The 12357-nt window shown below is 40.8% G+C and overlaps 1 long non-coding RNA gene across 2 annotated transcripts in view; it reads left to right on the plus strand.

The window, feature by feature from the left end:
* The first annotated feature begins 1670 nt into the window (after nucleotides 1-1670).
* LOC105374971 (uncharacterized) overlaps nucleotides 1671-12357 on the plus strand; it is a 241097-nt gene continuing 230410 nt past the window's right edge. For both annotated transcript variants that reach the window (XR_001744024.2, XR_001744023.2), the window contains exons 1-2: nucleotides 1671-1946; nucleotides 5014-5104. This is a non-coding gene — a long non-coding RNA (uncharacterized LOC105374971). The remainder of the gene's footprint in view (nucleotides 1947-5013; nucleotides 5105-12357) is intronic.

The raw sequence follows: 12357 nt of genomic DNA on the forward strand, positions 1-12357 counted from the left end.
ACATGTATGTTTTACAGACATGCAGAATATTAAAGCCCAGGGTACACATTTTGCTATAGAACTTCTATTTTCTGAGGATTGTGGATAATAAAAAATTAAAATTTGGCTGCATTTTGATAAGTACAATTTTTAAAAGTGTTTTTATAACCCAAAATATGAAAACCAAGCCAAAATCCTTATTGCTATCTTGAACTTTGGAACCAAATTATGAACATGATTGTGAGTTCTAAACTCTTGTTGCAACTAATCAAACATTGATTTTTCAGGCTCCTCTCTTGTTAATTTCAGGTAACTATGATAATAGAATACCACTATACTACACCAGTAAGCTCTCATTTCACATGCCCCAAAGATTAAAATAGAAAGAAAGAAAAAATGTTCCCATGGCAACTGTAACTCAAAATGTTGTTTTAAATCTTTATTCTCCTTGGTTTCTTGTAAGTAGAACTCATTTATTTTGCTAGAGAAAATTTAATGTAGAGGAGATACATTGGGTGTGGCAGGAAAAAGTCACTTTTCTCAGCAAAAGACATCTTAATCTCAGTGCATATTCTAGAATTAGCAAGGATATTATAAGGCAGGCAGTTGCACCATCTCATAAAAATAAAATAAAACACCGTTCAGTTGGTCAGTAGAGATTCATAATCTTCAGTGTTAGATGAAACATCCGGCTGCCTCAGAAAAAACAGTTTTGTTAAATCGCCCAGATATCGTAACACTGTGTAGATAAAGTCTTGGTTCTATAAAGGTTAAATTAGACAATATCAGGTTTTTCTGCTAAGTCGACGAATATGACTCAAATGACTGGCTGAAACACTAAATATTCAGGTAAAACAAGTATGATTTGGCCTTTAAAATACATAAAAATGTTAAATTGTTGAGGTCCATTTGTTTCCAATTGGTTGGTAGATATTATGTAAAAACTTAAAACCATGCCTAGAGAAAAAAAATGCCGTATAGAATAACGTGGTTAGTTTTCTGTCCTAATAATAACTTTGTACAATTATAGAGTTCTCTACATTTTTCAAATGTTTCTATTTGTATTTTCTTATTTAATTGTCCAAACAATTTTTTTAGCAATAGAAATGAATTATTATTTCAAATTTAGAGATTAAGAAATTGAGTCTTGGCTGGGCACGGTGGCTCACGCCTGTAATCCCAGAACTTTGTGAGGCCAAGGTGGGTGGATCACCTGAGGTCTGTAGTTCGAGACCAGCCTGGCCAACATGGTGAAACCCCATCTCTACTAAAAGTACAAAAATTAGCCAGGTATGGTGGCGGGTGCCTGTAATCCCAGCTACTCCAGAGGTTGAGACAGGAGCATCTCTTGAACCAGGGGGGCAGAGATTGCAGTAAGCCGAGATCACGCCATTGCACTCCAGCCTGGGCAACAAGAACGAAACTCTATCTCAAAAAAAAAAAAAAAAAAAAAAAAAGAGATGGAGTCTTGGGTTAATTGACTAGCCTCCAGCGGTGGATCATTAGGATAATATCCCCCACATTGTTTTCACTTCCCACTGTCTATATCTATTCCTTTTAAGTAGTCAGTCTTTCCCTGCACCCCCACCACTGTTGAGCTTAGTCGTATGATTGTTTCTGGCCAATGGGATAATAGCAAATGAGGTGCAAACACAGGCCTGACGAGTGCTTGCGCATTGCGCATGCCATTTCTTTCTGACAGGAATCATTCCGCCACAAGCGAACGAGCCTGGGCTGGCCTTGTGGAAGCCTAGCCGAGGCCTCAGAATATGGATGAGATCATCTGAGACCATCCACCCCAGGAAGCCAGCAAAGTGGCTAGAACCCGCCATACCACCGCAGAATCACGATTGCTGTTCTGAGTCACTACATTTCAGGTGACTTGTTGAGCAGCAAACGAGCTGACGAACCTAAAGTCAGAAGATGCTAGCGGAAGAAACAGGACCCAGAACTCCATTGGAAAATGGGTGAGTATTTTACCCAGAAGGTGGACAGAAATAATCTACAGGATTATAAAAATGGAAAAGGGAGAAATCAAATCCTTTTTATAGTGAGTATCAAAGGCTTTAATTTTAGTTTATTTTTACAAAATTCTTTTATCTTTTAGTTAAAATAGATGTTATCTCCAGACACATTTTTCTGCTTCTATATTTGTCCTGTAGTCTCTTGCATCATAGTATGTGACTTTTATGTGGTTAAATTTTCTAGGAAAGATGTAAGATAAAACAGTTCAGGTTCATTTATTATGTTGACATATTTATAATTCATGGCATATGTATTTTACCTTATTCAGGTCTATAGAGTTTAATAAAATGACCAAGGAAATATAAAGTAACATTTTTTATTTTTGAGCTTCCTTCTATAGTGGTTTTGTGATCTCAAATCAGTAGTTCAGAATTGCTTTAAAATACAACAGGTTATTTTTTGTTTTTGCTGTTTACATGATATCAGGATGTTGTACTAAATATCCCAATGGGAAAAAAAAATCATTTTTCAGTGTTTGTCATCTTAGTAGTTGCCTTGGTGAATTTCCTTCAATTCTTCATCAAGTTTTCTACTGGTTTTGTACTGAGATTGATCACTTTCAGGAACAAAATAATGTTTTTAAATTAAGATTTAATTTGCAGGGGTCTGGGGAAGAGGGTAAAACAATGGCTTTTCAGAGGAGGCTGGCAGTCACTTTAAAGTCCAGAGCTGTAGCATGGCTTCATAATACCCCACTTAAAAAAAATATATCTCACAGTAAAGTAAATATTTTGACAAGGATCTAGACATCAGTTGGAGCTTATCCAGTATTAAACAGAAACACGTGCTTTGTTCAAGGCATTTGCAGAAAACAAAACCATCTTGCTTTCTTATATTTATTTATTTATTTTTCAAGTTCAATCTTCTATTTATGTCAGGTCATGGCAAAAGGAGGCCAGGGAGTTGGAAACAAAGGCAGATTTTTTTCATTTCATCTAAAAGCTGAAACAGTCTCTCATCCTCCTCTTCCCCAAATGCCTTTATCCATTACCTCAAAGCCTAGGCTCTCACCCTACCCAGACTTACCCCTCCATCTGTGAATATATAGACATGCTTTGGTCCAGGGGTAATTGTAAGTGCCAATAAAAAGGAAGCTGAACACACACCCCTCCCTTTGAAGAAAATGCTGGGAATCCACTTTCTTTTTGGTTTTATTTTCCACCTTATCTGAGCTGTACCTGCTGGTACTGCTGTTCCTTGTGATATGAGAGCTTCCCATTCTGGAAATGGGGAGAACGTTTTCTCTTCTAAACTAAAAGTTTAAAACGTTATTAATATCTCATACAACAGTGCCAGGAGAGAGTGTACCTGCTTCCTCTGGACCATACAAGCCCCCAAATTTGAGGCACTACCCTATATTAAGTGGCACAGACAACAGCTATGCAAAACCAAATAGCCAAGTGACTTCTATCCAGTAGGATAAACAAACACCAAAAAAAGGAAATGCACCTCCAACCCACAATATTTTTGTTTGTTTTTATAGGGATGATGTAACTGGTTAAAGTTTTCACTTTTCAACTTGTTACAATGATGTGACTTTGATGACTTTTTTAGCTCCACTCAGAATAAAATATTGGGGTAATTTTAGAGTTGTAGGGACGATGAAGCACTGACAATGTTTTGGTTAAGTTTTTAAAAATATTTTTTATTTTCAAATGGTAAAATTATCTGTGTCAGGTAGTTTTACATGTTAAACTTCAAATTACCCATTTACAAAATGTAAAGGTAGTAAAATGGGAAAACACCCATTTTTAATATTTCCATAAAATCACAATTGTAACTGATGTTTCCATGGTCACCCATCTGAGGAGGGGGAGGACAATATGGTCATAAAAGTGACTAGATCCAAATGGTAATTCCATGGCTCATGCTCACCAATTGACTTTCTGAAAGGAGCTTGAGATCTCGTTACTTCTTTCGAGAATTTCTTTCTCAGACGTAGGCAGAAGAAAGGGAACTCACAAACATTTTCCCATTAAGATCACCTTTTGGGACTGGACACGGTGGCTCAAGCCTGTAATCCTTGCATTTTGGGAGGCTGAGGCGGGTGGATCACTTGAGGTCAGGGGTTCGAGACCAGCCTGGCCAAAATGGCGAAACCCTATCTCTACTGAAAATACAAAAACTAGCCGGGCAAGATGGCATCCTGTGATTCCAGCTACTCGGGAGGCTGAGGCAGGAGAATCGCTTGAATCGGGAGGCGGAGGTTGCAGTGAGCTGAGATCGTGCCACTGCACTCCAGCCTGGGTGACAAAAACAAACAAACAAACAAACAAAAAAAGTACACCTTTTGGTGATTAGGACTGGCTGATGCTGCTCACTGACTGGAGTCTATTTTGTAGCCTTGTCATTTTCTCTTACCATTACCAACATCATGTTTTGGATACCACTAGCAGCAGTGGGGATCTTGCCCTGCCATTCTCAGAAGGGTTGTGTGCTGAGCCACTCCTCCATGGTGCTACCTGAAGTTAGACCACATCACTTTCCCTGCCCAAGGTTGGTGGGGGGCCTGTTTCTCACAGCACCACTAGGTCCACATCTTACCAGTCATCATTCATTATAAAAATTAAAATTCCACTCTCTCTCTCTCCTTCACTTGGACTTCAGATTAAATTCTCCATATCTTCCATTCTATTTTCAGGACTCCTATCCCAGTTTATTTATTAATTATTATCGGTCCATTGGTTCATGGCAGCTTTTCTAAAATTTAAGAAGTTGGTTTAAGAAATTGGATCAGTCAGACTAGTTGTTACCAAACTAAGTATCCTGGGGTACATGAAGATTCCCAGGGAACATGCTCGCATGGAGAGCTTTAAGGGAACAATTTTCAGACTCTGAACATTCTATGTGTTTTCTGTTGTAACTTTTTCTTTCTGAGAAGACGTTTGTGTTTGAAGACCCAAGCAGGTCTGCTTTCTTACCTCCCCTTTCAGAATTGCCCTTATCTTGTTTATAAAGAAAGGCATGTCTTTCACTAATTCAGAACCTTATTATTGTTTGGTGCCCCAGGGTATACAGACTTCGAGGATGCCAGACAAAAAGATCATTTGAAATATTGTTGTCACTAAGCCTTCTTTGATCAAGACACCATGAGCTCATGGTAAGTCTTCATGTTGTTCTGCCTTATATTTATTTTTAAGTGAGAAGAGTTGTATGTTGCAACATTCTGAGGTCACGTGTACCATGGAACAGGACAGCAGGACTAGACAATTTTCACTCAACAATCTTGCCTTCTTTGGCTATGCATATGCCTGTGGACATCTATTTCAAATGGAAGAGGCTGTGTGCCTATGAACATGGACTCTGGACTCATATAGCCCTTGTATATAATCCATCTTCATTACTCACTAGCTCTGTAACCATAGGCAAGCCTCAGTTCCTCATCCATAAAATGCCATTAAAAATAATGCCTACCTCATAGTGCTGCAATGAGGATTAATAGAGACAATGCTGGAAATGCATTTCAGAGAAGAACCAGAACAAAACAAATGCTTGCTTAACAAATGCTCATCTCATATATAACCATGCTATAGATTTCCTTATCATAAAGTTACAACAGGAGAACATCCTCAGGCAAAACCAACTGTCCAGCTGAGTTGTAAAGACTATTTAATCTTGCCCAAAGAAAGTCTGGCTTTTGCCCTTGTCTCATGGGAGGTAATCTCTAAATCCTTGGGATATCCTATCTGATAAATGTATCTCTGTCACATGCAGGCTTTGGGCCAACTGGATAATAACAATGTGATTTAGAATAGGGGTTTTGGTTATGCAATATCTGCTGGACTTCTGGAAGGGCTGGAGACTGAAATCAGCCATGTGGGCAGTCAGTCATGCCTGTGTAAGAGAGTCTCAATAAAATCTCTGGACACCAAGGCTTGGATGAACTCCCTTGTTTGGAAATGCTCTGTGCATATTGTCACGCGTTGATGCTGGGAAAGTAACACTATTCATAATTCCATGGGGAGAGGGCAACTAGAAGCTCCATGTTTTGTGATTTCCAGGACTGTGTCCTATATGCCTTTTCCCTTGGCTGATTTTAATCTGTATTCTTTAGCTGTAATAAGCTGCAACCATGAGCATAACAGCCTTCAGAGAGTTCCATGAATCGTTCTAGCTAATTATCAAATCCAAGAGTCATTGTGGAGGCCCCTGAATTTGCATTTGATTGTCAGAAGTGAGTGCAGTTTTGTGGACTGTTCTTTCTAAACTTTGCATCAACAAAACATCTTTTTCCTTGCATCCATAGGGGTTGATGTTTTTCCGTTGGCCAACTTGAGTTTTGTGATAATTTGTCCAGGAACTCAACAATTAACTCTATCTTTCCTAGTAATAGCACACATGGAGGAGAATTGCTTCTCCTGACTGACAATCAAGGAAGAACCTGGAAATGCTCAGTGGTAAATGTTCCTCATGCAGCTGGCAGAGTACCTTGGCTTCCAGTCATCCCCACAGGGCACTCAACAAGGATGAAGAACTGAGTTACCCTTGACAAGTCAGTGTCCACACTGGCATGATTAAGTGGGAAAAAGTTTGTCACTTTCTCTATCCCTTCCATACTAGTGAAGGTGGTGCAGGAAGCATAGATATCCCATTCCAAATTGAGTGATGCGTGGATGGTAGTGTATTCCACTTAGCTTCAAAGTTCCTTTCTAAAATCTTGGACATGCTTTTTATGTCTTTAGACACTCACTTTACTCCACCTGCTTGCATTTAGTAGGCACTGTAAGTTGGGAGTTGTGATGGTTAACTTACGCATCCACTTGCACTTGGCTAGTCAGTGGTGTGTAGTTGTCAAACACCAGTCTAGATGTTGTAGTGAAAGTATTTTTCTTAAGATTTGCTTAACTTTTAAATCAGTAGACTTTAGGCCGGGCATGGTGGCTCATGCCTATTATTTCAGCACTTTGTGAAGCCAAGGAAGGTGAATTACTTGAACCCAGGAGTTTGGCACCAGCCTGGGCAACATGGCAAAACCCCGTCTCTGCAAAAAAAAAAAAAAAAAAAAAAAAAGCAAAATATTCACTTGTTGTGGTGGCGTGCACGTGTAGTCCCAACTACCCAGGAGGCTGAGGTGGGAAAATCACCTGAGCCCAGGAGGTCAAGGCTGCAGTGTGCCATGATTGCACTACTGCACTCTAGTCTGGGCCACAAGGTGAGACCCTGTCTCAAAATAAAAGAAAAAAAATTAATAAATCAGAAGACTTTAAGTAATGTGGGTGGATCTCATTCAGTTAATTGAAGGCCTTAAGAGCAAATACTGAGGTTTCCCAAAGTAAATGCAACTCGGCCTCAAGAGTATGACATATAAACCTGCCTGAATTTCTAGCTTTCAGATTTTGACTAAAGACTAAAACATCAACTTTTTCCTGAATTTCCAGTCAGATGGCCTGTTCTACAAATTTCATACTTGCCACACCCTATAATCACGTGAGCCAATTTCTTAAAATAAATCTCTCTCCCTGCTCTGTCCCTCTCTGTACACTCTATTGGTCCTGTTTCTCTGGAGAACTCCAAAACAGGGGTTGAGGTACTTGAGCATTATCTCAAGCTTATCATTGAATATGAGCTTGACCTAGCCTACTGGAATAAAGGAAACAATAAAAACAGAATGGCTTTGTGGGGACAATGTATAGAATGCTTTTCCATTTTTCTCAAAGTCTTCTATTTGTATCATTTTGCTTGTGCAAAGATAATTTGCCAGGAATATATTGGTCCCAGTGTGTCTGGAATTGGTGGGTTCTTGGTCTCACTGACTTCAAGAATGAAGCCGCGAACCCTCGCGGTGAGTGTTAACAGTTCTTAAAGGTGGCGTGTCTGGAGTTTGTTCCTTCTGATGTTCGGATATGTTCGCAGTTTCTTCCTTCTGGTGGGTTCGTGGTCTTGCTGGCTCAGGATTGAAGCTGCAGAGCTTCACAGTGAGTGTTACAGCTCTTAAGGCAGCGCATCTGGAGTTGTTCGTTCCTCCTGGTGGGTTCGTGGTCTCACTGGCTTCAGGAGTAAAGCTGCAGACCTTCACAGTGAGTGTTACAGCTCATAAAGGCAGTGTGGACCCAAAGAGTGAGAAGCAGCAAGATTTATTGCAAAGAGCAAAACAACAAAGCTTCCACACTGTGGAAGGGGACCCGAGCGGATTGCCACTGCTGGCTCCGGCAGCCTGCTTTTTATTCCCTTATTTGGCCCCATCCACATCCTGCTTATTGGTCCATTTTACAGAGAGCTGATTGGTCTGTTTTACAGAGAGCTGATTGGTCTGTTTTGACAGGGTGCTGATTGGTGTGTTTACAATCCCTGAGCTAGACACAAAAGTTCTCCAAGTCCCCACTAGATTAGCTAGATACAGAGTGCTGATTGGTGTATTTATGAACCCTGAGCTAGACACAGAGTGCTGATTGGTGCATTTACAAACCTTGAGCTAGATACAGAGTGCTGATTGGTATATTCACAATCCCTTAGCTAGACATAAAGGTTCTCTAAGTCCCCACCGGATCAGCTAGACACAGAGCACTGATTGGTGCATTTACAAACCTTGAGCCAGACACAGAGTGCTGATTGGTGTATTCACAATACCTTAGCTAGACATATCCTCCAAGTCCCTACCAGATTAGCTAGATACAGAGTGCAAATTGGTGCATCCACAAACCCTGAGCTAGACACAGGGTGCTGATTGGTGTGTTTACAAACCTTGAGCTAGATACAGAGTGCTGATTGGTGTATTTACAATACCTTAGCTAGACATAAAGGTTCTCCAAGTTCCCACTAGCCTCAGGAGCCCAGTTGGCTTCACCCAGTGGATCCTGCACCAGGGCCGCAGGTGGAGCTGCCTCCCAGTCCCATGCAGTGTGCCCACACTCCTCAGCCCTTGGGCGGTTGATGGGACCAGGGCGTGGAGCAGGGGGTGGGGCTGGTGGGGGAGGCTTGGGCCACCTAGGAGCAGGGGTGGGGGGTGGTGGGGGGTGGTGTGCTTAGGCATGGCGGGCTGCAGGTCCTGAGCTCTGCCCCGCCGGGAGGCATCTGAGGCCCTGTGAGAATTCGAGTGCAGTGCTGGCAGGCTGGCACTGCTGGGGGACCCGGTGCACCCTCCGCAACTGCTGGCCTGGGTGCTAAGCCCCTCACTGCCAGGGGCTGGCGGGGCCACCGACCGGCTGCTCCGAGTGCTTGCCTGCTGAGCCCACACCCACCTGGAACTCGCGCCGGCCCTCAAGCGCCGTGCACTGCCCTGGTTTCCGCCCGTGCCTCTCCCTCCACACCTCCCTGAAAGCTGAGGGAGCCGGCGGCCTCGGCCAGCCCAGAAAGGGGCTCCCACAGTGCAGCGGTTGGCTGAAGGGCTCCTCAGGTGCGGCCAGAGTGGGTGCCGAGGCCGAGGTGGTGCCGAGAGTGAGCGAGAGCTGCGAGGGCTGGCAGCACGCTGTCACCTCTCACCAGTATATTCCCAATAGATTGTTTCCCAGTCTTCTGGAAAGGACATATTCTGCTAATAGTATCCACAGAACAATGACAACTCAGAAAATCTAGTGGAAACTTCTAGCCTAAACCTAAGGACAACAATGGCAAACCTCTATGAATTGCTGATCATCTTCCATGGGATAAACACTACTGATACATTATCTCATTGAATCCCCATCACAACAATGCCCAGTAGTCATCATGTCTCCTGTTTTAAAAATGGAGAAAGTGAGGCTCAGGAATCTTAAGAAATTGTGACAGGTATGAAGACAGTACAAACAGAAGCAGGATTGACAGTCAGGATCTCTGATTCCAAAGTTCCTTATGTTTTGTTGCATCTGTTAAAAGATTCTTTCTAGTCAGGGCTTCCTGGAGGGAAGAGTTATTAGGTCAACCTGATATAGGAAGCACAGATGGTAAAATGGGACCACTACCTGAAGGAGGCTTTATCTTGGCAAGGAAAATGAGATTGTCATGCAAGAGATAAACAGCACAGGCCAACAGGGCATACGTTGCCACCAGAAGTCTGGGTTGCCATGTCTAGGGAGTCATATATGTAAGTCATGAATTGTGGATATCAACTTGTAAGAAGTAGACAAGAGACAGAGACTCAGAGATGGAGCAACTAGAGGGGCAGCTGGAGCAGCTCAGGCCAGAGGCTGAGTTCCAGGCTGCATTCTAATTTAACTGCTCTTTGACTTGGAACAGTTATTTCCACTTCTCTAGGCCTAAACTTTCTCACCTATGAAAGGAAACTGGATTAGAAATGATTTACTTGTGTAGGTCTCTATTTAAAACATAGTCCCCAGCAGAGCATCTGGTGGCTTTCTCAAGCAGAAATGTATTTGTTGTGCAGTTTCCCCATTTGAGTCACTTATATTTCTCATTATCTACTCTTTCTCACAATGTATTTGTCTAGATCAGTTTTAGAAAAAAATAATCTTGGGTAGGAATAATAACTACTGCTATGAAGCACTATTTTAGCTTATTTGGTCTTCTATTTAAAAGCCTGTGTTGTGGTCAGCATACTCTAGGGGAAGAAATTATTTCAGAATGTCAGCACATCACCTTGAAAAAGTTTACCTCTTTAAAAATGTGTCTTGAAGTGTACAGAAGAGGCATAATTTGCATACTTTTGTTTCCTGAAACAGTGTTTTTCCAAATAACTCATCTGTTAAGTCCCTATTTGCCTGCAGCAATATAGAATGCATACTCTCTTTGACAGAGAAAATTAATAGTGCATTAGGGAACTTTCATTTCTGGAATAGCAGTTCAGATTTAGTCTAGTCATCTAATCCAAGATATTAGTATCATTTTGGGAGCATGATCCTTGGGAGAGTAAAATTCCATATAAATGGCCATCGGTGTCAATTCTGTGTTTCAATTTGACAATCACTCATTTAATATATGCTATGAGCAAGGACCAAAGCCAGGTGAGATGTATAAATAAAAACAACTTCTTTGAGATTCAATTTCTTCACCTCTTGTAAAGTAACACAATTATTTCACTGAAATGGTAATGATTATGGTATATACCTCAAATAAGAATTAAATGAGATGGTGGATATAAAATGCCTGGCACAGCTCCTGGCATGGTGGAGATACTAAAAAAAATAGTAACTTCAATACAAAAAGTGTAGCCCTTGTTGCCCTGAAATAATTGAATTCAAGTAATGGGAATCTAATAAGAGATCCCAAACAATAAGCTATAATGTAAGATAGAATACAATCAGTTTTTATTTCATAAAAAAATGGAAAGAACAAAATTGAGAAGCATAGAGAAAAAGGCAGATAGTATTTTTGTCTAAAGAAATTAGGTGAAAATTCATTAATAAAGTGACATTTTTTGGACCTTACAAGAGAAATTAGGTTTTAATATGCATTGTAAGGGTATTTGGTTTTTAGACTTCTTAAAACAGCAGCCATGATCAGGACAATATAACTAAGAAGTAAAACTTCCATGGTAAAGATTGTAATCCTACAATTAAAAGTAGTTTCAAGTGGCAGGTTTCAGAGCCCTGTCTCTAGTTTTGTCCTAATCAGCCCTTTTGTCAGTGACTTGATTATCACCTTATCAGATGATATGAAAGTGGGAGATAATTTAAATCCAATGAGTGGGCTCAATCTAATAGGATGGTGTTTAAAAGCAATAAATACATTTATAGTTCTGTACTTAGGTCCACATAATTAGGCATGAGAGTTTAGGTTACAAAGAAACCCAATGGTTTTAGGCAATTGTAACTCCATGCATGACATAGCATCCAAAATTTCATGGAGACTTTTTTCTCTTCGTTAATAAAACGATCTCACTGAATAAATATCCAATTAGGTCCTTCTGTATGCAAAGAACATATAGCAGTACAGAGTATGCATACACGTGGATTTTATAATTTTGAAACTAAAATTTCAGTAGAATGAAGAGAAGTGAAACAAATTTCACAGTTAAATGTTGCACGACAATTGTGACAAGTGTTGAGAGGGAGAAGTGCAGGGTGTCATCCATGCACATGAGATGGGGACGGAGACCTGAACTCTCGTCAGAATCAGGGAAGGCTTCCTTGGGAAGTGATTTTTACTGAGATCTGAAAGATGAGTATGAATTAGCCAGGTAAAAAGCAGCAAGAGGGTCCCTCAGGGAGAGGAAATAGCATATTTAAAGGCCATTGAACTGTCCCACAGGGTCTCATACGTATTCCTTCTGCTTCTGATGGTTTGATGCAGATGTATATGGGGGCCTTGGAAGATATGTATTGATGGATGTACAAATTATTACTACCAATTTGGAAAATAATCGGCACTAGCTTCAAAGTTAAAACATTGTCTTACTCCATAGCCAAAAATGAGAAGATAGAGTGAGAAGAGAAGACGTGCCAGGTTTGAGCCTTAAAGGCATTTAGTTAAGTTGGTAAG

Source organism: Homo sapiens, chromosome 6 (genome assembly GCF_000001405.40).
Source record: "Homo sapiens chromosome 6, GRCh38.p14 Primary Assembly".
Classification (NCBI taxonomy): Eukaryota; Metazoa; Chordata; class Mammalia; order Primates; family Hominidae; genus Homo; species Homo sapiens.